Raw genomic sequence first — 26,071 nt, 5'->3', positions numbered from 1 at the left:
TAATCCCAGCACTTTGGGAGGCTGACGCAGGAGGATCGCTTGTGTCTAGGAGATCGAGACCAGTCCAGGCAACATAGCAAGACCCCGGCTCTATTAAAAAAAAAAAAAAAAAGGAAATTGTTTAAATTTTATATAGTTTATTTTCTGAAAAGCTGTTATTAAATTAGTGGGAGTAGGTTTACATAATTGATAGCCCCTTAGAACCCATGAATATTTATTTATTTATGTTAATATATAAAACATATATAGTATAATATATAAACATAAATATATGTTAATATATAAGTGAGGATTTTTCCCCAATTCATCAGACTCACAAGTTATCCAGTTTTGCTTTATTGATATATAGGTGTTATATAATATTTTCTTACACTGCTTAAAGTGACTTGTGGTTGATTTTGGTGTAGCCTACTTCCATCTAATAGCTGCAATAGCCTTTTTATATTGAGTAGTACTTCCTTATGATGATATAGAAAAAATTTGTATAACTGAAATTTGTGTTACTAAAATTTTGTAGTTTCATATTTAATTTTATATCTCTTTTCTCTTGCTTCTCACCCTCAGTTTTGTACCTCCTGTGAACTAGTTTGATGGTCAGAAGAAACAGTTTAAAAAAACGAACAGGTGAAGAAAATATACAGACCTCACTTGTTAACATTAAATAAAGAATGCTTTGGCCGGGCGCAGTGACTCATGCCTGTTAATCTCAGCACTTTGGGAGGCCGAGGCAGGCGGATCACTTTGAGCTCAGGAGTTTGAGACCAGCCTGAGCAACATGGTGAAACCCCGTCACTACTAAAAATACAAAAATTAGCCAGGCGTAGTGGCCTGTAATCCAGCTACTCGGGAGGCTGGAGAATCACTTGAACCTGGGAGGCAGAGGTTGTAGTAAGCTAAGATCATGCCACTGCACTCTAGCCAGGGTGACAGAGCAAGATTACGTCTCAAAAAAAAAAAAAAAAGAAAAGAAAAAAAGGAATGCTTTTAATTTCAGTGCTGACCTTTTCAACTACTTTTTTTAAAATGTCTGTAATACGACTAGAAGAATCTCCATTTTCACTCTGGCAACCTCAGCAGCAATTTGTCTGCATATGCTACCATTACATTTTCATAATAAAATATAGTAAAACAAAAATAAAAATGCCAATAAAATAGATTTGTTTCTAAAAATGGCAGGGGGTGGAATGTGGTACCTGGACATGTTTTCTAACACAGTCCACAAAATCATGTTTTCTCCCATATCACATTTTAAAAATAGACTACCAGGTAGAGGATAGCCCACTTGCAGAAAGGCCCCCTCAGGAATCAGCAGGAGATGTTCAAAAAACGCTCTGAGTCAACATGCTGACAGTGATCACAAAAAAAGACAAATTCCACTAGCATTGGGCTGTATACAAAGAACCATCATATCCCAGACCTAAGGGATGATATATGATGCACCTGGAAAAGTGCATTCAGTTTGGATAAACTCAATTCCAGAAATATGTGGAAGACTGGAGAGAGTAAAGAGAAAAGAAAAAAAAATGATGAAGTGACTGGGGAGGTGAGGTTGGGAAGGGGGCTTGGGAGAAAAGATTAAAGCAACTGGCTAAGTAACTTAAGATTTGACATGATAACAGCCAACAAATATTTAAAAATAGCAAATACTATGATGACAGAGAAATTACTTGGGATTGTAAAGGAACACAGAGAAAGAAGCAGGATTGAGAAACCTGATGTTCTGGCTATGTGTAGACGAAGATAAAAAACTGAAAAATATAGTAACTTTAGGAATATTGTCTTAAGGAGTCTGTAGGAAGCTTTAATTCATAGCAAATTTACTACTAAACACAAAGAAAGCCATGGGTATTGGCAGATAATGATTGTGAGGAACGGATGGTGGCCTATATGACTAGAGATATTCTTTCTTACGTAGTAGTTCTATAAATCTATTGTAATATGAGAACTCTAATTTATGTTGAAAAAGGGTATATTCCTTGCCATGAGGCAAGGTTTAAACCAAACTTTTAAAGAACCCATTATTACACAGTTTGCTCTGGGATCTCTGACTAACCCAGGGGAGAAAAGTGTTTTTAATCTGCAGTTTTCCAAAACCAATTCAATTAAAAATAATAAAAAATCTGAAATCCTGTCCATAAGGGTTAATAACTACAGAGGTGTCCAACAGATATTCAATCACAAAAATTCAAATGCTCTTTTCATTAAGCCTCTGGTGTCTTTTTCCATAGCTAAACCAAGATAATTGTTTTGGGGCTAATTTCTGAGGCTGTTTAATAACACCTCCTGCTAGACTTCTCATGTAAACTCAGCAAGAGGAAACATCCAGAGTAATAGAAAAATATTCTGTTCATTTTATAGCTCAAATTCACACTTTTCTTTACAAAAGAGATCCTGCTGTTTGAGTTTGGCAACTGTCATACCAACTGCTTTGGGGAAGATTGGATTAGAAGGCGAAGCTGACTATGCAGTAAAGTCTCCACTCTCCAGCAGGATTTTTATGTAAATTCCATTACAATTTATACTTTTGTAGATAATGAAAAGGATACAAAACACTTTAAGGTTTCCAAGTCAGCAAAATAATGAACAGGACAGTCTGCAAACCACTTTACTACATTTTTGACATGTGGTCACTCATATAAATGGGCTTTGTATCTGTTCTTCTTTCACAGAGGATTTTTTTTTTTTAATGCTACATTCTAACAACTCATAGCTCTACAGGTTATTGCTAATGTGTGAACATGAACTACAAACAGATCATCATACTTTTAATTTCAGTAACTGGCAGATTTTGCATTATGTTTCCTTAAGAAAATATGGACAATCTTTTCTCCCAAAATGCGGTGGCTCACGCCTGTAATCCCAGTACTTTGGGAGGCCGAGGCAGGCAGATCATGAGGTCAAGAGATCGAGACCATCCTGGCCAACATGGTGAAACCCTGTCTCTACTAAAAATACAAAAATTAGCTGGGCATGGTGGCGCGTGCCTGTGGTCCCAGCTACTCAGGAGGCTGAGGCAGGAGAATCACTTGAACCCGAGAGGCGGAGGTTGGAGTGAGCCGAGATGGCACCACTGCACTCGAGCCTTGCCACAGAGTGAGACACACATACCTTATAGACTAATGGCAGTGCCAGAGAGGTGTGCTTTTATAATTAACCAACCACAAAATTAAAACTATGTAGATTGATCTATAATTATTATTTTATGTAATTTGTGATGACATGTAAGGGTAAAAGTATGTTTTCAAAAGACTAGCCTCTAGAGACAATATGTTTTTGGGTTTCCAAATGGATCTTTCTTAGCAATAGTCAATGACTATAACAGAAACAGTCAAGAAAATATTCTGTAGCACAATGTACAAAATGTATTATTTTCCTTCTGCTATTGTCATTTTAGTTCCATATATTGTCTTGTGCTGGAAGGTGAAATTCCCATTAGTGTCAATGGAGAATCCAGGCATGGAGTAAAGGAAACCCAAGACTTAGGCAACAGTGACACAATTCTCCAAGTGAAGCAAGAATGTGAACAAAGTATGTATTTGAAATATAAAATATTCTGGTGATCCATTATCCCATTAATGGAGTTGAAGTTTTCAGGGATGTATGCTCATCTTTATTCTGGGATGACTAACACACATGTAATATTCCCTTTGGTATATTTAATAATTTCACTCAAAATAGGAAGCCTATTGACATTTCACTTCATTGCCAAATCAAACAAGATTAGTCATATGATCTGTGTCTCACTGATAGATGAATTTTGATGGTGAAAAGTCAAAGCATGATGATGCATAGCCTTTGACTTGTAGTTGGCCTTTTGGGAGCCATGCTGTGCCTCTTTCCAAAGGAGAGAAGCCCAGGCTGGGTTCCTGTGGACTTACCCGGAGAATCATATATAACTGGTTCATGACTTTTACACTCTAGAATGCTTCATTCTCAGGGAGCTCTCAAGTGCATTCAAATGTTCCAGAAGCAGACATTCCCAAGCCTTTGCTTTGGGAAGTCCTGATAATTTAGAGAAACAGCCAGAAGAGAAAATGGAGACAACATGACCAACCGATGCTAAATAGAGGCAAAAGGCTCATGTATGCTAATAACAAGATTTCATCCTTAATGCAGGATTTTAGTGATTGTTTAACATGCAGTATCCCATATAAGCCTCATGACAATCTTATGAAATAAGTCTGTTATTATTCCCATTTTTGGATGAGAAGACTGAAGATCAAAAACTAAACAGCACTTTATTTCTTTGAAGATCAAATGGAATACAGTGGAGTTGCATTTGAGCCCATGTCCAGATTTCTTAACCACTTTAAATATTACTTTAATCTTCCTTATTACCACAAAACACACACACACAAACTGTAATTTACCTTCTGTCCATACTTTTCAGAATATATATTGATTTTTGCTTTACCCTTTTATGCTCCTTTTGGTGGTTTCAAACCTGGATTAATCTAGTTCTTAGATACTGATTTTGTTGTTGATGGTGGTGGTGGTGTATAGCTCTTTTATATGACCCTGACAAATCACAGATGGTTGCACTGCTTTAATTTCCTTTTAAGAGATTTTTCTCCAAAAGTGCCAGCCACACAGGGAAGAGAAGGTAGAGATTACTCAGTTTGTTGTTGGTCTATAAGGTTATGGCAGTAATAAAATGTAATTTCTGAGAATAAAATTATATTTTTAATGACAACAGCAATACTCAATGAAAGAACACAAACTCGTGCAGGCCCTGTACTAGATGCTTTGGGTATAAGAACTCATTTAGTACTCAGAATAACACCGGGGAGTAAGTATTATTGTAACCATTTTACAGATAACAAAATAGAGCTCGAGTAATCTAAGGAAGCTGCTTAAGGTCATGCAAAGTCTATAGCAGAACTGATCAAGCACACATCTCTCTGCCTGCAGGGACTTTGCTTTTTCCTTTACCACACTGCCTGCCATATCCAGAAATATGAACTGTTCAAGCTACTTTCTTTAAGGCTAGAAATAAACTTTTAAGATTTGACGGACTGTGTTAGAGACCAAGTGAAGGTCATTAGTATAAAAATATAATAGTAAAATGCCTTTCTTTCTTCTCTATCACTTGAGTCTTTCTTCTCTCTGCCCTTGCCCCATTTTCATATGAAATGGTATCATATATTTCAGTACCTTGAGCAATTACGATGCTGTGGGGCTTTGAAGAGGCAAACCATCCCTAACTTTAGCATTGCCAAGCTCAAAAATGCCTGTGGGAACAGAACATCTTACCTTTCTTGATCTGGTTGGCCTCAAAACCTCAGCTATTAATTATAATCCAGGTACTGTACAGGAGACCTAAGAACTCTACTTCTTTTGACTTCTGTTCCTCATTAGGTTCTGTGACCTTGGTCTCATGAAGAGACAATGGAAAAAAAGCAGGGGGATAAGAGATATTTCCCCCTCAGCACTTGGCCATTTGACATGTATGCAGAGCTATATTTGTCTCTGTTTCATCCTTTTGAAGGTAAGCTTGTGGGGAGTACCAGGCACGTCATGTCGCATTAAGTGCTCAGCACACTCTTACTCCACGCTTAACATAATAACTCTCATATTCATTCATGAGAAAAGCCTCCTTTTCTTATGTCCAGCCAACTGAAAAGATTCATAAGGATGATTTTAAAAGGTTGAAAGGCAACTTTAAGCACAAGAATTTACAAGATGCACATACACACTAACAGAAAAATCTCACAGTGGTAAATTATACTATTTGAGCTGGTGCTTTTTCTCCTGTTTAGACCTAATGTCTGCATAAAATGTTTGTTCAAAGCTAGTACATATTGTTTTACTCAAGAATATATATATATATGTCTCTTTAGAATTAAAAAAAGGAAAAAAGAAAAACCCATCTGTTTGTGAATAAATGTGGCTTTTTCTTCTGTACATTTGAGTGGCCTGTTTGGTTGAAAGCTTATAGTACTTATTTTACCAAAAAAAAAAAAAAAATTTACTAAATTAGCTTCCTCTAGAAAATAAATCTGGATATGATCAGGAGCAGCCAAAGCAAGAAGCAGTAAAATCCAAAAATAATGTCACAAACAGCTTAAGTCACTTAACTTTATGTAAATCTACTGAGGAGTAAAAAAGAAAAAATTAGAGCAGAAAAAATGTCTGAACAAAGCAGGTTAAAAACTGGGAGGAGAGAACTCTTGCATCAAAGAAAAAGAAACAAAAGAAATTATAAGCTATTCTTCTTTTACTGGAAAGAAATTAAGGACTTACACCTATGATACATTGAGTAGAAGCAACTACAAAAGAAAAGGAAAAAAAAAAACAAAACATGCCCAAACCTGTACTTGAATCAATGTGGAGTGACTACCTGCCACAATTATATAAAACTGTCTCAAGTTATTGTTACAGGATTATTTCTGAAATAGGAGCTATTCAAGTATGTAGCACACTTCTCAAAATTCTCTCCCCTTGATCAGTAAGTTATAATATTTCAGCACATAGTAAGTACCACATTCATTAATTTCTAATACTGAATCAGGGTTTTCTAAATCTTCTTTATCCCCTTTAGAGTTTTGTGCCTGACTTCTATTATATTGTGTATAAAAATGTATCAAAAATGATGCATGTTTTTTACTCTATAAATTGCTAGGTAAAAATTATTTCTTGAGTATTAAGCATACATATATGCCTTCTCCCTGCCCTGCCCCATACTATAAAAGATTGCTTGAGGTGAAATGATTAGTCAGTATTTTAAAATAAAGAAATACCTTGATGCATGTATTTTTAAGAAGTTTGATACCACTCAGCCTCTATCTTTGCCTAATAGTGAGGTAACAATTTATTCCTTATTTTCTGAGGCAATCTTAATTTATATCTCTTGCTCTGGCACAATTATTAATAGTATCCACTTTTACTTTCAAAAGTATCCAAATTTAAATGATAACTTATATAGGTATCTGATATGGTTTGGCTGTGTTTCCACCCAAATCTCATCTTGAATTGTAGCTCCCATAATCCCCACATGTCATGGGAGGGACCTGGTGGGAGGTAATGGAATCATCAGAGGAGGCTTATAACATGCTGTTCTCGTGATAGTGAATAAGTCTCATGAGATCTGATGGTTTTATAAAGGGCAGTTCCCCTGCACACACCCTCTTGCCTGCTGCCATGTAAGAAACGCTTTTTCTCCTCCTTCACCTTCTGCCATGATTGTGAGGCCTCCCCAGCCATGTGGAACTGTGAGACCATTAAACCTTTTTTTCTTTATAAATTCCCCAGTCTCCGGTATGTCTTTATTAGCAGTGTGAGAACAGATTAATACAGTATCTCTACCTAATATCAAGGCAGCATGGCATGGAATGATCTAGGGCTTTTGAGACAAGCCCCTCAGGGTCTTTGCATATTTCCATCATTTACTTACTGTATAAACTTGGGCGATTACTTATCCACTCTGAGACCAATTTTTCATCAGCAGCATATGGATAATAATAGCTCACAGACTTGTTGAGATAACACAAATGCATAGTATTATGTCTGGGTACATACACAAATGGGGACAATAAGATCAACTTACAAGATTGCTGTGCAGTTTACTTAAGATGATGAATTTATGCAGAGTGCTCAGCACATGGTCGATACTCAAAAAATATCATTTTCATCACACTCATTCTCATCATCATCACTATCATTGGCCATTAGTGGCTGTTGGTAAATATTAGAGTTAATCGTTTCTTCCCTTCTAACCTTACCTCTTCTGGTACATGCTGATGTCACATCTGTGAAACATGCTTAGAAATGTGTATTATACCCACAACAATCAGGAATTAGGAGCAATTTTAGACTGCTTGGCATACTAACTGAACAGCATTTGGTCTAGTTACTGGGCAAAACACACTGGTTTGTCTGACATAAAAATGCACGTCTCAGAGTGTATCTCAAAAGTTCCCTCAATGCAGAGGACTATGAACTCTGACTCTTGGATGCTCCAGGAAGATCCTAGGTCCTTCCCTCTCAAGATGGAATGCCTTGGAAGTCTCCATCTTCAAATGATTTTCATTCCATTTCATTATATATCGGGGTTTTTTAATTTAAAAAATATTATAAGAATCCACTCTCAAGCCGGGCATGGTGGCTCACACCTGTAATCCCAGCACTTTGGGAGGCCAAGATGGGCGGATCACCTGAGGTCAGGAGTTTGAGACCAGCCTGGCCAACATGGTGAAATGCTGTCCCTATTTACAAAAAATTAGCTGGGCGTGGTGGTGCATGCCTGCAGTCCAGCTACACAGGAGGCTGAGGCAGGAGAATCACTTGAACCCGGGAGGTGGAGGCTGCAGTGAGCTGAGATCATGCCACTGCACTCCAGCCTGGGCAGCAGAGCTAAACTCTGTCTCAAAAAAAAAAAAAAAAAAAAAAAAATCCGCGATCCAGGTAAATTGGTGCTCCAGCATGATAGGCAGTGTGTTTTCTGAGGCTTATCTTACACCTAATATAACTCTGCCTGTTCCTAGTTATATATATCCCAGTTGGAGAAAGAACAGGGATTTCCCAGTTAGACACAGCTGGCTTAGAAGCCAGTTCTGCACACTGTGTGCTTTTGTAACCTTTGGCATATTACTTAATGTCTCTGATCCTCAGTGTCTCGGTCTTAAATATGGGGATATTATGATACCCATTAAATTGTTTGATAATTAAATGTAATCATATCTGTAAGGTCACCAAGTCATATGTTAGGAATTCAATCCATGTCAATAATTTCACCTTTTTTCAGTGTTAGTTAAAATAGTTCAATGACATCATGTCAGGTCACATCGATGAAGACCGATTTGAATTTATTTCTATTGGGACTCAGAGCCCAAAAGTACTTGAAAGATGACATCTGGCTTACCACATACAAATGTCTATGCAATACAACATGGAATCTCATGCAACCATCCAGGTCCTTCCTTCCAAATTCCCATAGTAACTCAACCTTTAGTGGTAATTGTCTATTAATGGCCTTACTTGACTGGGCATATATTTTTTTAATCCAGTTGCCATATAGAAACCATATGGTTGAGATGTCTTTACACTTTACAAAGCATTGGTAAAATGAAAACAGAAATCATAGTCCCAGGCACAGGATTCGATTAGCCAAAGACTTCCTTCTCTACTTGGCGGACACTTGGGTGTCCTTCAGGATCACACTCAGATATATTCTCCTTTAGAGTGCTCTGAAAATATTTTTTTGCTTTCCTCTATCATTGTACTTATTACAAACCACTGAAAATTCATGTTCATTAATCTATCTTCTCCCTTAACCTTTGAATCTCTAGAGTAGGTTCCCAAAGTGAAGTCAGCAGATCCTCTGGGGTCCCTGGACCCTTTCAGGGGGATTTGTAAAGTGAAATCTATTTTCAAAATCATATTAAGACATTATTTGCCTTTTTCACTCTGTTGACATTTGCAATGATGATAGAAAGCACTGGTGTATAAAACTGCTAACATCTTAGCATAAATTAAAACTGTGGCACCAAACCATATGTAGCACTATAGTCATATTCTTAACCACCTCACACTTGCAATAAAACAAAAACAAAAACAACACAAAACAAACAACAAACAAAAAAATACCAATTTTAAGTATGTCTTTTTAAAAACAATCATTGCTAATTTTAAGAAATCTAAATCTCTGAATATACATCTTTAATATTCTATATGACAAAATGGATGCATGCAAAAAGCACTTTCACAGACTACCGAAGTCTGACCGTCTTGAGGAAAAGCACTTATGAGATAAATGTTTGAGTTGTAACCTGACATAGCTGCTCTCTTCATGAAATACCATTTTTACTTTAAAAAGCAACTGACAGACAAACGATGGTTATTCAGATTTAGGTGCTGTGCAGATATTTTTTAAACAATGAATGAAAGCAAGCCAAATCACTTCAAGGAAAACAATCAACAGTACTTATTGCCAATGATAAAATTCAAACATGCGGACAAGAATTGTAACCTGAAGAACAATTTGTATCTGTCACTGTGAACTTGACAGCTTCGTAATATGTAAAGACTTTTCTGATAAGCTTGGTGGTGATATTAACAGTGGTGATTCCTTTTAAAATGTTTCATGAAATATGCTGACATATGGGAAATCTACATAACTCAGTGAAACAATACTTTCCAAATGACCAATGCATGATGTTACAAAATCATGCATGTAGTATATTGGTTAAAGATCTATCCAAAATGTAAGATTAACCAATGTATTTTAATGCAGCAGATTTTTAAATGTTCATTGATATGGTTTCAGATTCCACCTTGCAACTAACCTTTAATAAACTATTTGTCAAAGTTTTATTCAATATCAAAGAAGAATAGCACATTTATCTGAGAAGGCTAGTAAAATATTCTTCCTTTTTTTGCATCTAGTATCTGTGCAAGGCTGATTTTCTTCATAAATTTTGAATTAACAAATATTTTTAAATTTCTCATTTTAATTTCTAACGTGGTAAATACTGAGAGATGTAACTCACAAAAAATAAAAGTTCTTTTTTTTTTTTTTTTTTAATTTTTTGAGCAGAGTCTCTCTCTGTCACCCAGGCTGGAGTGCAGTGGTGTGATCTCAGCTCACTACAACCTCCACTTGCCAGATTCAAGTGATTTTCATGCCTCAGCCTCCCGAGTAGCTGGGACTACAGGTGTGTGCCACCATACCTAGCTGATTTTTTGTATTTTTAGTACAGATGAGGTTTCACCATGTTGGCCAGGCTGGTCTCGAACTCCTGGCCTCAAGTGATCTGCCCGCCTCCCAAAGTGCTGTGATTATAGGCATGAGCCACCATGCCTCACAAGAGTTCTTAGAATCCTCAATAATTTTTGAGAGTAGAAATGGGTTATTAGCTCAAAAAGTTTGAGAAACACTGCTATAGAAAGGCAGCACTGTTCATCTTTCTGTCCAGAGTACCTGAGACTCGTGAGGTGCTTCATATGGGTTTATTTAACAGATGGATGAGTGATGAGTAAGTGAATATTGCCTATAATGCCAGAAGAATCTGACACGTTAGAAAATATCTTGATATGCAATATGTGATAAATAAATTAAATTGCAATTTAATATTTCCCCCTAGCTTTGTTTCTTGCCTTGTAACGCCTATTTCCAAAACAGATAAGGAGACACACCACAGGTGATTAGTTGTTCAGCCATGATTAATCAACTAATTAAATCAAGTTGAGTTGGTGAGGGGGACGGGGAAACAGTTATTTCTCTATAAGTCCCTTCTCTGATAGCCAAACAATTGACTTTACTTCTTTCATTATTAATGTATACATTTTACAAGAATTTGTTTGGAATAGGATAGTTTTTAACATGTTTCGAAAATTTTTTTAAAGCTTGGTTGACCATTTTTTAATATTGTTTTATAATGATATTTTAAGGCATACTTAGTACCCACCTCAAAATTTCAAATGCCTCTTAATAGTGTGGAGAAGAGAGATGGATGGGCAGAAAAACTGGGAACTGAGGAAACAGTGAGTAGGGAAATCAAGTGTCAGCTAGGTCAACCCATAGCCTAAGGACTCACAGAAACAAGAATAAAGTTTAAATTAAAAAAAAAATAAACTCCAAACACTAAGGTTTTTTTTGTTTTGTTTTTTGTGTTTACTTTTTATACTACTATTCTGCTTCCTTCAAGCCAAAGTCATCTCTTTTAAAAGAGAAAATATCTTCTTGATAACTCTGTACATGGGAAACAGCAGAAGCAATTTGGAATCCATGGTACATTTTTTTAGTCTCACTGAATAGAGGAGATAGTCTCTTGCAGGAAAGGAGCACCATTCAGTTGGCTGATGTAGTTAACATACTATACCCAAGAGCTAAAGCTCTCTAATTATTCCATAAAGCCTATTTTATCCATTGTAAAATGGATCTTGTCTCCCATTAGGTTGGTGCAAAAGTAATTTCGGCTTTTGCAGTACTTTAATGGCAAATACCACAATTACTTTTATACCACCCTAATGACTTCTCTGAAATAAGGATAACTTGTTCAATCAGTAGTATATCATCGTTTCATTGGCAGAGTTTTAGTTTTTCTTTTTAGAATATAAAATAAGGGTACATCTTACCATTGACAGCATCTTAGATTCGATGAACTATAGTAACCTAGGAAGAAAATGTTTGATTCTATAGTTATATGGTGAGACCATATTCAGAAGTGTGGTCTCTAATACCTTGTCTGTTTTCCTTTCCTGTCTCCTTGGAAAATAATGGACCCATCTAACGAGCAAGTAAGTTGATGTGTTTCAAGGCAAGGTAAGCAAGTTTGAGTAGCACTATTTGATCCCTAAGAACTTTAGAGTTTGGTAGAAAGCTTATACAAGCCCAAAGCAAAAAATAAAGGAAATTGTTTAGCTGAAGTATATAAATAAAATGTGATCACATAACAGAGATTTCTATAGAAGGAGTCCATCCTAATTTTTATGCTTCAAAATATTAAACATTTCCTCAGCTTACAATTTAGGATATATATATGTGTGTGTGTATATATATATATATATGTAAATTTTAATGCAAACAATAGTATATGTAATTACCCTTTGCATTACCCTTCTCTTCTGAAGTGCCAAGGAAAATGTGTGCAGAAACATTTATGCCTACATCATTATATGTGCATTGGCTAAACAATCAAAAGTACTTCTGCAGATGCGTGTAGGAAAATTAAGAGCATTCCCACTTCCTCATTCAGTCAAGACAGTCATGCTGTTCTGGCAACAGATATGCATAATGGAAACAATATTGCTTTAAATAATCAAAATACACAAAGGCACATTTTTCTGAGTGATTGGAAATAACCCTGACAAATGCTTAAATTTGGTAAATTATGAGCTAGCCAAGTTATGTTTGCATAAATATAATGAAAAGCATTTTTAAAAAATTTAGTAAGCATGTGAAGCACGGCATTCTCTTGGTAATGATTTCTTTGACGGATAAACCAACAACCGTGCAAGGCAAGTTTATGAAGGTGCCTCCTTGAGTGCTTTAGAATGTGTGTGTATGTGTGCATGTGTTTGTGTATATGTACACAAATATATGCACAAAAATAAAAAGTTTGCAAAAATTAGGTAAGTGGCAGAGATATTCTTACAACTAAAAAGAAAGAGAGAACAAGCGTAGGCATTTAAAATAGCTACTTATATTTGAAAAGAAGAACACAAGCTAAGTGCAATTGAATGCTTTGTTAATGTGGTACATGGATAATTCATATTCCCCATACAGAACTCTTGGATAACACAGAGATTACCTATTAGGTAAAAACATAATTATATTCTCTTCCAGCAAGCTAGATATCACACCTCAGCTGCACTCTTAAAGGGGTATCTGCATGTAGTTGAAGAGGAGCTGTGGGTGGCTAATAAAAAAGTATTCGAATAGGGCAAAAATAATATTCTACTCACAGGTAATATGGTGGTATTTGTTATCAGATTGGTTTGGGTAGAACCGAGCACTGAGCATCCAACATGTGGATGCAACAACAACAACAACAACAACAATAACATACATTCAAGCAAAAGCCGAGGAAAGATATACCTTCATTTAGGATTGTCCAGATTATCATGGCTTTTAAACTAAGCCTAATAAGGTAGGGAGACTGACCACTGAATTTGCTACATGGATAGCAAAGCTTTTGTGAGAATTCTATAGCTTTTAAAAGTCACCAGAAGCCAAGGAACACACTTTTACGTGAAAGGATTATCATCAAGGCCTTTTCCTATGGGCAGGCCACACAAAACAAGAAATTTTCACATTCTCCTATGAGGATAGACTGTATTCAAAGAGATAAAATAGGCCATGAACAGTGGGTGGAGTGGAGATGACATTCTTAGGGGAAAATTCCTTTAATTCCTAAGCATGAATTGTAGGAAGAGCCTGATTGTGATTTATGGCCTTAGTCATCCTTTTTTTCCCCCTGATAATTGTACACTGTAATTTTTCTTTCTGATAATTAACCTTAGTCATCAAGTTTTTCCCCATTAACCGCCACCCACCTTCACTTGAGGATGGGAAGTAACAGCTTGAGAGAAACCAGGATTACAACAGGCCTCTGGTTGGGTAAAATAGCGCGGCAGACCAAGTTAAATTTGTACTACTTTCCTCACCCTTTGAGGTAGTCCCTATTTCTTATCTTCTGTTCCTCCAATTTAGGGCTAAACCCCTAGAAAGCTTAATGCTTTGCTTTTGTTTCAATATTAAAATACATTAGAGCCATTTGGTAAGTCCTTATCACCCAGCTTATGACTTCTCTTCCTATGAAGAGAAATCTCTTCATGAAATTTCTCTCCTGAAAGTCATCCATGACTAAGTCATTGTGACAGCTAATGTTCTCATATTCCATCTTCCTTGTCTGTGTCTCCTCCTTGATGCCTGATCAGGCCTTGCTTCCAGAAACTCTCCACCCTTTCTTCCTTTCTTGGGACATTCTCAGTTTTCTTTTTAACTGTGTGACTGCAACTTCTGTCTCTTTCCTCTTTGCATTCTATGTGTATGTGATCTAAAAGTTTGTTCCTTAGCCCTTTTCTCACCTGTTCTCTCTTTTCGTTGACAATCTCACCTATCCTTTGGGTCTTGTCTGCAGAGGATGCCCACAGCTCTGCTGTTAGCCCTGCGTCTTCTCAGTGCTAAATACAGGTTTCCACCTGCACACTGCTCTTCTCTGGAAAGACAAGCTCTGGCACCTAAAACACTCATTACGTCCAAATTGGATTCGATATCTTCCCTCTCACATTTACATCCCCTCCTATGTTTCCTATTTTTTCAAAAATGTCATCACCAAGGTTTGAAACCTTAAAGTCAAGTATGACAGCTTTCCTGTCTCTCTGCAATAATATGCAAAACCCTGTCAATTTCTCCTCTAAGGTTTCTTGACCATTTATATCCTCTTTTCCATCCCTTTTTAAAAAAATTTTTTTATTTTTTTGTTTTTATTTTTATTATTATTTTTTGAAACGGAGTCTTGTTCTGTCACCAGGCTGGAGTGCAGTGACGTGATCCCCACTCACTGCAATCTCTACCTCCCTGGTTCAAGTGATTCTCCTGCCTCAGCCTCCCAAGTAGCTGGGACTACAGGCGTGCATGACCACGCCCAGCTAATTTTTGTATTTTTAGTAGAGACTATGTTGGCCAGGATGGTCTCGATCTCCTGACCTCGTGATCCGCCCGCCTTGGCCTCCCAAAGTGCTGGGATTACAGGCATGAGCCACCGCGCCTGGCCCCAAAATTTTTGTTTTTAAAGATAAGGTCTTGCTCTGTCTCTTAGGCTGGAGTGCATATAGCTCACATGATCACAGTTCACTGCAATCTCGAACTCCTGGGCTCAAGCGATCCTCCTGCTTCAGCCTCCTGAATATCTGAGACTACCACCATGTTTATCTAACCTTTTAAATTTTTTATAGCGGTGGAATCTTGCTGTTGCCTAGGCCAGTCTCAAACTCCTGGCCTCAAGCGATCCTCCCATTGCAGCCTCCCAAAGTGCTGGGATTATAGGTGTGAGCCACTGCGCCCAGCCCTTCACCTCTTTTCTATAGGCTGGCTTCCTGCTGTTCTTTCACAGGCTGACCTGGCTACAGGAATTTTGCCGTTTAAGAGCTGCTCCCAGCCGGGCGCATGGCTCACGCCTGTAATCCCAGCACTTTGGGAGGCAGAGATGGGCAGATCACCTGAGGTCAGGGGTTCGAGACCAGTCTGGCCAACATGGTGAAACCCCGTCTCCACTAAAAACACAAAAATTAGCCTGGCATGGTGATGCACACCTGTAGGCTTTTCTGCATCCAAACAACATTATACATTGCTGCCAGAAAAATAATACACAGGGCTGGGCGTGGTGGCTCATGCCTATAATCCCAGCACCTTAGGAGGCCAAGGCAGGTAGATCACAAGGTCAGGAGTTCAAGACCAGCCTGGCCAATACTAAAAATACAAAAATTAGTGGGGCATGGTGGCGGATGCCTGTAATCCCAGCTACTTGGGAGGATGAGGCAGAGAACTGCTTGAACCCGAGAGGTGGAGGTTGCAGTGAGCCGAGATTGCACCACTGCATTCCAGCCTGGGCGACAGAGCGGGACTCTGTCTCAATAAATAAATAAATAAATAAAATTAAAAGAAAACAACAACACTGTTTTGTTCATGTTTATGTGCATTCCCATATCTACATGCATTTGCTTCAGACATTTGCTTTGCCAGTATTTTTCTTTTTCTGCAGAAGTGTCTTTTTCTGCCATCATCCTCGTTTCCTCTCTTCAGTACCCCTATGTCATCCAGTATTTGAGTTTAACAGTTTTGTCTTTCCATTAGATGATGAATTCCTTAAGTAAAAGGCCTGATATGTTTATCTTCAAATCCCCTACATACACTCCAGTGCCTGACATAAAGTAGCTCCTCAAGATATCTTTGGTTTTGAATTAAGGTGAGTTTCATTCCTTTGTTTAAAAATCTTCAACATTCTCTATTTGCCACATGTTACAAACTGTTTTACCTGGTCAACAAGACCCTTAGACTTGGGATCTGGGAAAGGTGGGGAAGAGGAAAGCAGAGAAAGAGGACCAAAGAAGAAGGAAATTGGAAGCAGCAGCAAATGGCAGGCTGGAAGTATTCTGGGACCATTTTTGTGTTGTTCCTTTTCCTACTGATTACTATCTGGTCCTTGAAGGCCCAGACATCCACATACCACTACCACTAATCTCTCCAGGAATCTCAATGCTCAGCGCCCCTGTTAGACCATATCCAGGCCCGCCGCTCCCAGGGGATGCCCTGTGTCCACTGGCAGCCACTTAGTGACTGATGTGCTATGCTCTGTCTTGAGGCAGGAAAACCGGACTAGCCAGCTAAGCCTAAGAATGCACCTATCCTAAATGCTAATGGTAATTCCAGACGCATTAAGCAGACAGTCAGACTTTTAGGGCCTTCTCTTTTTGCCAAGTAATGCACAGGTATTAGATTTAACTGGTTTTTAGGAGATGGCTGCCCTGAATTTGGTGTTTCACCCAGGTGGTATGAGCCAACAGAAATCTGGGTTGTGTAAGAGGGGAAGTATGATGATGAAGGGAGGCCTAAGCATCCCCATACAGGCTTGTGTCATGTAGTTAAATAAATACATTTACTGTTACCAGCAAGGCCAAAGATGAGCAGGGGGAAGGGGTAGCTCCAGAGAGATGATGGGTTTTTCCTTAAAGACTAAGCTCTTTTGTGGCTTATTGGCCTCCTTTACTTCATATGCAGATATCTGCCCCACACTTCCTTCCTTAGTGTAGAATACAAGAGCACTAAACTAAAAATAAAACAAACAAACAAAAGAACCCATTACTTTTGGTGGGCTGATATTGGAAAATGTAAACTTAGAGACTGTTAGGTAATCCTAAGTCCAGACTCATTACTCATTTAACCTTGGCACAAGTTAATGTTTAAGTGAAACTTTATAATAACCAGTTTCCATTTCTTCATTCTCCTTACATTTTTTTACCCATTTTCATTGTAAATTGTTTTACATTATTTTGCTCTTCCTTTTCTTCGGTACGAGAATAAAGTTGTTTTTATCTCTGTGTCATTTCCACCCTTTCCTATACTTACTCTCCCAGGAGATGATCTCACCAATGTCCACACTGGACCAAAGGCATCTGGCACATACTCTCATAACTTTCCTCGCCTCCACCTCAGATTTCCTGACACCATCCTCTTTTCCTGTCCTTCTCTCTTGGAATAAGACAACAACAACAACAACAACAGAAAACAAAAACTCTCTAGCTAGCATAACTACCTGGATTCTCCCCAACTCCTGTTCCATTAATCACACATTTCCCCTAACAACTCCAATTGCCCCTGCTCCACTAATTTCTTCCCTTCTGCAAACATGCTCAAATCTCCACTTGCCTAAAACTTTTCTTGCTTACTTCTCCCGCTTCACTTTCTGGGTACAGATTCCTCACATTTGCTATCTTCAATTATTCTCCCCTTCATTCTTCTCATGCCCTTGAAATATGTCTTCTGTGGAATACATATTTCAGCCCACAAATCTGAGGAAACAGTTTTTGTTGACCTAATCATTGCTGACTCACTAGCTGCTTTCATTCCTTCTATGGTTCTCACGCTGTATTAATCAGCGCGATTGACCATCCTGAACTACCCCAGTGTGTTGTGCTTCTACACTGGGTTACATGCTTTCTTCATCTCTGTAGCTAGAGTGTTCTCAGGTTTCCTGAAAACTTTCTAGTTGCAGAATAAATTCTCTACTTTCTTCTTTACAAATGTATTATCTTTCTCTCCTATCCCTTAGTAGCTTCATGAAATTACTTGCATCATCTGTGAATATGGTTCCTTTCATATATTACCATAACCCCATTAGAATTCATTTCTTATAGGCAAAAGCCCTTAAGATGTTTTTTAACTCTCCTTGGTAAAGATACCAGTAATCCATATAACAAATATTTTTTAATATTTTGGTCCCAGCAAGATGGTGTTTTCTTAATTCATACATATTTTGGAAATTTGTTTTTGTTTTTGTTTTTGTTTTGTTTCCTAATCATGTGTGTCTGACCATGACAGAGCCATAAGGAAAAGTTGTTTGAGCTCAGGGTACTTGCAATTCATAGTTGTTCTCTGAAAACCACTGTTCCGAAATTACTGTGTTGTACATCATGAAGATACCCTGGAGTTCTTTCACCATCCTGGATTTTCTTCTTCCTTCTTGCATACTTGTGATATGTAGCATGAGAAGGTTATGACTACTCTGAAAGTGAAGTGGAAGCTTAGGTGGTATGTATGAGTGTTTTTATTGTCACCTTCCATCTTTGTACATGTACATTGGCAGAGTTTTTAGAAAGAAGGGGTGATGCTGTCTAGCTGGTGTTTCTCAGCTGGTCATATTGAAAACACGTAGGTAGATGCCTGCCTACTTGTGGTCAGACCCAATGGTGTAAAGTGCCCCATATCCACCTACATGTTGTGTTCACCCTTTTTCCTTGAGAAATGACTATTCTTACAGATATAGGCTTTCAGGGAAAGGTATGACAGCCTTCCTCTTCAATATATTCTTATAAAACTTTTGGGCTTGCCTAATAGACTCTTTCACATATCCATTAAATTTCCATTCAACCCTCAAGACAGAGGTAGCTTCCTTCATCTTACACAAGAATAGGGTTGAAAGAATATCAGAGAGTCCCAGAAGGACCATGAAAACTGTATTTATGGAAGGCCATAGATTCAAGTTTCTGTAATGTGGGCTTTCCCCCAAGGTAATGACTGCTAAAAACATCTATGTCCCAGGGAACTGACGTAGGTTCCTTCCTGAGACAATTCCTGGGAGAAAAGAGATAGCCAATGCAGAGACTGTATCTATCTGGCTTACTATAGTACATCCTCTGCTTTGCAGTGTCTAACAGAAATGGGTGCTCCATAAATATTTGTAGAACTGAAAAGCATTGAAATGTTGGCAAGAAAACAGACAGCATTGATAGTAGTACCAGATTTGGGGAACTTGGGCAAATTCCTTAATAAATTATCAGATGTTCCTGGTGTAGTGATTTAGGCAGACTCTTTCCCCTAGGGTGTTGTCCAGATAGTTGGGAATTTGGTTGAAGCTGATCTCTGAAAAGATTCAGTGGTCAGAATGGAAAATCTCACCGCAGGACATTTTAGGATTAGGTACTTTCACAAAGAAATCAGTTCTACTGAAGCTTCTGGACCCAGCCAATGCTGACTACAAGATACTAGATTCGACAGAAAAGTAGGCAATACAACTGTGTCTCTCCCTTTGTTCCTCCATGGGATTTAATCATAAACTTATATTGTTTGAATATAGTTTCACTAATTATGAAATATGATCAGTTTGGACAATTACATGAAATGTCAAATAGAAATATCCCAGACCTGGCATCAATGGTTATAAATCAGTGTTCTAGTAATGTTTAATGTACCCTCAACACTTTTTCAGAAACCAAAAACATTTTATTTTAATCAAAAAGAAAACAAGGTATGCCACCGATGAAAATGACATACATATTTTTGTGCTTATTATTTAAAGAAAGGAGAAACATCTGAAATCTGTTTGCTAACTACAGTATAATACAAATTAGCCTGCAGGCACCGTGTGTGCCGTACCCTGTCTGCTTGCCAGCCCTGCTTAGTCCCAACGTATTAATGAGCAAGTGCAAGTATTTGAACAATCAGCATTTCTGCATTTGCATGCAAACTCTCATGCTGTGTAATTATACACAGAGCTGGCACTCAAATTAATTAAAGCTGATTTTTCTGTGACTGCAAACTGGTCATATCTTCAGCTTTGCCTTCCTATGAAGTCATCACTCTACATTCAACATGACACTCTGTCCCCAGCATTCTTAGTAGTGCTAATGTTCGACAATTGTGAATCCGGCAATATTTTAGAGAGCAGCTGACAATGGCTGGGTGTTCTTATGCTTTTCCTCTCCTATCTTTCCCCCTTCTGGAGTATACAGAACAGCTTTTGAACACTTGCTTTGTAATTATCTCAAATACTAATGCAAACAAATTACATATATTGTTTCAGTGGGTTCCCTCCCCTCTTTTATGACACCACGCACTTGATTAGAGCTTACAAACAATTCATCAAACTTTAAAAATTTGTTTATTTGATGCCAAGAAACAATTAGTTGTGACGGTTTTGGTCTTAATTTTGAAAAGGCTTTAACAAATGATGTTTTATTTTAAGAGACAAAGATCTTATAATTCAAAATCAGGGAGATTAGGAAAGAAACAAGCAGCAATGACTGCTAGATTCGATTAAGACTTTTTGAATCCTTATCAAACATAATGGACTTGAAACGGAGACTATTATTTGCCAGAGAGATCCGTAAATGTTAACTTCTAGGACAGAAGGCTTTCCTCAACTCTTCCACAATAAAGCCATCTCCTTTGGTTTCTCCGTTCCTCTGAAGGAAATCTTCCTGTGACAATTCTTTTGAAAAGACATCTTCAGAGCAATTAAGATATCGTTATGATTCTCTTTTCATAAATTTAAATCTTGAATAAAGGTGGCTACTAAAACATCATCATGTAGGGCCTCGGGAGATGAGCTGCTTTGACATTTTCCTCTGAAATCACCCGTTACCACACAAGCACAGCTCACCATCTTCCTCATTTCTCTGCATTTCATTAGCCAGAAACTGTACCGACAGCTATTGCAGGGGCTGGCTATCTCTTTTTAGAGCAGGCACCAGACAATTCTATCCCTCAAGTTCAAGATCCTGAAATACACTGGCAAGATTGCCCTAGTAATCTACATTTGAAAGGGAAGATGGAGTAGTAGGGGATTTCTTTATACTCTGACTTTAATGATCAAACAAAGAGATATAATTGCCCTTACCTTATCAGTTGTAATGCTGGATCCACATAGAACACAGTTATCAAGCTCTCTTCAAATTCCAACTGGCAAACAAGTGAGAAAAGAGTATTGAGCCTTTTCCAGAGAGGCTCCTGGGGAAATCACAGTCACAACACTATTAAGATCCCAAGCCTGCCCTTCTGTGTTTCGTCAGGAATTTCCTAAGCAGACAGGTGTCATATTGGCATGAATTTTGTTGCCAGGTACATTTTAAAAGTTGGGTGTGGCTGTGATCAGGTAGCCAGTTCCACCTGTCTCTAAACCCTCATAACCTCCATTGCTTCCAATATTTTGCTCAAGTACCCAGTGACTTCATGATTTACCCACGCACTGGGCCCGACTAACTGAGGTGTGGGAACAGTATCGAGTTAAGCAGCACCGTCATTGTAGTACACAATGCTCATTGCTACTGGCAAATACCTATTTGCTGAATCAGGATTGGGCTGCAGTGAGCAGGACTGGGCTGTTCTACAGCTTTCTGTTTGTTTCCTTTTTAGAATCACCCTCTTCTAATTAAATCTAACCATTTAGCAAAAATGGGCTCTTTTTATGTTCCTGTCTTAAAAATATAGCTTTATTTAAACATCGAGAATGACTGTATTTTCACCTTTTCTAAAGCAACTGTTTGCAAAACAAAAGGCAGAGGAAAATAAAATTAGAGTTCCTCAAACAATCAAAATGAATATCGCTGTGTATGTTGTATGTTGTACATTTTGCTTTTAAATTTTCTAATAGCAAACCAAATACATGTGTTAGTTATGATCCTTTTACTTCTTCTAAAGAGAAAAGGATAATAGGAGAAGCTTTCTGTAAACTTATTAAGGAAAGGAAATCATTTTTGCTCCCTAAGGAGCAGTAGACAGTTAATTTATTTTATTGTTGATTGTGGTATTAAAAAAAAGTTGGTTGGCTACATATCTCTTTATAGTCATGTATGTAAATGGAATTCAGGCATTGAAGAAGCAAGACCAGATTTTAGAAACATGCCAAAATTATATGTATTATTTGTCATGCAAGTATAACATGATCAAAACAAAGTATAAAAAATATAGGGCTAAATAGATGGAAAGGTCATGCATTTGACTTGTAATTTCAACCCATTTTGTCAATGTACTGTACTCTAGAGGTGGGATTTTAATTTTCTCAGACCCCTTGATTCCTTACTGACATTTAAATCAAGCAAACTGTGCTATTTTTAGATTGATTTGGTCTCAAATATCAAAGTTTCATCCAATATCTTACCCAAGCAAAAATTTCTTACAAAATATTGCCTTTGCTTCAACTTGCCCATCACATCTGGCACAAGATTGACATGTAATGAGTTCAATAAATATTTGCTCAGTACATGTTTAGAGGTACATTTATAACTACATATATGGAAATTATAAATTATATAAATCAACTAACCTACAAACTCTTGAAGGCTTCTTTCATATATAGGATGTATACATGGTATGCACATACATGTGAGCAGTAATCATTGGCCAAGTAAATTAAAATTAAATAAGTTGAAGATAATACATTACTACCTCTAAGACAATCTAGTTTCATTTTAAATGAGATCTTCCTTATTTTTGACCAATACCTTCCTGAATTTTCTATTCTTTGGTATGAGCTTTTTCTAAAGCTTCTGAGGATAAATTTAATCCTTATTCCACATGAAAGTTATTCAACTATTTGAAAAATGGCTATCATTTTTCTCTACGTCTCCTCTTTCTTCAGACTGAACATTCCTTTTAATCATTATAACATGATATGGCTTTTAATGCCTATCACCATATTGGAGAGATTCCAGTTTGTCCATGCCTTTCCTAAATGTGGCAGTCAGAACTGAATGCACTATTTGAAATGTGGTCTAATTATGCAAAATACATGGGTACTGATGCCTGCCTTGTTCTGCACTCTATTTCTAATAATTTAGAATTCTGTGGAGGCAGGAAATGCACTCTGAGGAGGGGCTGGCATCATTATTATTCTTAGTGCTTGAACTTTTACAAAACTAAAACATCTAAAAACATCTAAATCTTTTTCATACCAAATTCTGTTTAATCAAACCTCTTACAACTTTTTCCATCCATTCTAGAGCTTATCTCTGGTACTGGCTCATTGTTCTAATTATTTGGGATATTTGGATTCCTGATTTTGCTATCCAATGTCTTGGTTACCACATTTCATTTTGTGTCATTCTTTAAAAGACATCTGAGCGGCTACTATGGGTCAGTCAATGATCATACCAAGGGCAAGATGACAGGTCCCTTTCCTGAAAAAGCACACAGCCTGGCAAGGAGCCTGACAATATCATTATTATGCCTTCCATGCTTTCCTTCAAATCACTGGCAAAAAAAGTGCTAGTGCATGTCTCAGAGACCTCTCTTCAGATTGGCAACAATCAATCAACCCTAGATAATGAGAATAAAACAACTCCTATCATTTTTATTGAGCACTTATTTAATAAGGAGTAAAGAGCACTTTATGTAAATTATGTCACAAGAAACACAGTGTCCTTATGACATAGATAATTTTAATCCTTATTACAGTTTAGGGAATTATGGTTCAGGAAGCTTATGCAACTTTCAAAAATTTTCATGGTTGATAAGGTCCAGGGCTTCAATTTGAACCCCTAAGGCTGTCTGACTCCAAAGTTCATTCTTAATCACTTTTAAAGAGATAATTCTGCCATTTTGGAAACTTCCTAACCATATTCTAAAGTATCTCTAACTTATCTTCTAGGAACATATGAGTATTTTGATTAAAATACTTGCAAAAATCCAGTTATATTCTCTTTTGAAGAGAAAACATAAATTAGTTTGCTTGTGGCTGCTTTCTTCTTAGCGACCCCATGCTGATTCTTAGTAGTCAGTGCCATTTTTCAACAGGCTCACTTTTATTTTAATGATTGTCTACAGTTTGCTAGAGACTGATATCAAACTCATTGGTTTGTTCTGAAGTTCTGCAGTTCTCAGAATCTTTCCTTTCTGGTAAAATCGAGTTAACATCAACTCCTCTCTATTTTTTGTTTTGTTTTTTGTTTTTGTTTTTGAGATGGAGTCTCGCTCTGTCGCCCAGGCTGGAGTGCAGTGGTGTGATCTTGGCTCACTGCAAGCTCCGCCTCCCGGGTTCACGCCATTCTCCTGCCTCAGCCTCCCGAGTAGCTGGGACTACAGGCGCCCGCCACCACACCCGGCTAATTTTTTGTATTTTTAGTAGCGACGGGGTTTCACCGTGTTAGCCAGGATGATCTCTATCTCCTGACCTTGTGATCCGCCCGCCTCAGCCTCCCAAAGTGCTGGGATTACAGGCGTGAGCCACCGCGCCTGGCCAACTCCTCTCTATTCTTGCCTCTGCCCCATTCTCCATGATATCTCAAACATAATTGTCAGAGTTTCCACAAGCACATCCGAAGTTCTTTCTTTCCTGAAAAACACTAGAATTTATTTATGTAGCTATCTGCTTCACCTTCTTGGGGTTCACTTCTTGCGATGGGAGTTACTAGAAGGAAAGAATGACTTGTTCTGTAAAAAGCTTTACACGGACAACACACTCTAAACATATTTGTTGAAAAAAAAATCTACATAGCCGAGAGGGAAAAAAAATTCTGCTATGCTGTTTTGTAAAAATGAAAAAAGATGACTATTTTTGCCTTCTTGGGAGGAGCAACACATATATCACTTATGAATAGTTCTTTTGTTGAGGAAAACAACTAGATAAATCTAGAGGAGACACTCAAGTTGAGAAAGTCTAGGTCCTTCTGGGTGTGGTCTGGTAAGCAGCACTGGATGGCGAGAGAGCTACATTTCTCTATAATAAATTACAAACAATTTGTCAGTCTGCAAAAGAAGACTTGGAAATGGGAAGAATGGAAGTGAGATACTGCCCAAGAACCTGGCAGAAAGCCCAGAACACAACAGAGGAATACAGCCAGGGAGGAATTTCAAGGAGCTCACACTTAATTCTTTTTTTTTTTTTTTGAAACAGAGTCTCACTCTGTTGCCCAGGCTGGAGTGTAGTGGCATAATCTCTCGGCTCACTGCAACCTCCGCCTCCCAGCTTCAAGCGATTCTCCTGCCTCAGCCTCCCGAGTAGCTGGGATTACTGGCACACACCATCACATCCAGCTAATTTTTGCACTTTTAGTAGAGATGGGGTTTCACCATATTGGCCAGGCTGGTCTCTTAACACCTGACCTCAAGTGATCCACCCACCTTGGTCTCCCAAAGTGCTGGGATTATAGGCATGAGCCACCATACCCAGCCTCATACTCAATTCTCAAAACATAGCTGCCTCAGCCGTGTGCTAATCCAAGGGGTGACACAGAAATAGCAATATAAGGCAAGGTCCTTTCCTTCCAGATGGAAATATAGTCAATGATCCCAATTTAGTAAAATGAAAAGTATCTTTAGAAAAGAAAATAGTGTCTACTTGGTAATTTTTACTATTCCAGTGTAAGTGGGTATTAGAAAATGATAAAGTATTATTATTTATTAAAATGAATATATTTATGATTTATTAAAAATAATTTTTAATATATTTGTATATCTTTTTATTACATAGAAAAGCCTAAGATTATTTTTGGTAGGTAAGCACAGAATTAAAGGACGGTATGTTATCAAGAGACTGTCGAGTCCCCACTTGTGAGAGATTTTCAGAAAGTTTATTTTACCCTATCTAGAAGAGACTGAATAATCAGTTTCATCTGAATTTTATAGGAATAACCA

At 37.7% G+C, this 26,071-nt stretch overlaps 1 protein-coding gene across 11 annotated transcripts in view; it reads right to left on the bottom strand.

The window, feature by feature from the left end:
* Nucleotides 1–26,071, bottom strand: part of ADGRL2 (adhesion G protein-coupled receptor L2) — a 687,801-nt gene that overhangs the window by 272,786 nt on the left and 388,944 nt on the right. For 6 of the 11 annotated variants that reach the window (XM_047416152.1, XM_047416118.1, XM_047416159.1 and 3 more), the window contains one exon: nt 21,339–21,400. The exons of 2 other annotated variants lie outside the window; for them this stretch is intronic. The gene's annotated coding sequence lies outside the window, so the exon portion shown is untranslated. Of the gene's footprint in view, nt 1–21,338; nt 21,540–26,071 lie in introns of those variants that run through there. 3 more of the 11 variants (XM_047416096.1, XM_024454355.2, NM_001297704.3) reach the window with 1 other exon arrangement.

This window comes from Homo sapiens, chromosome 1, assembly GCF_000001405.40.
Source record: "Homo sapiens chromosome 1, GRCh38.p14 Primary Assembly".
NCBI lineage: Eukaryota > Metazoa > Chordata > Mammalia > Primates > Hominidae > Homo > Homo sapiens.
This window is presented reverse-complemented; position numbering and strand designations above follow the sequence as displayed.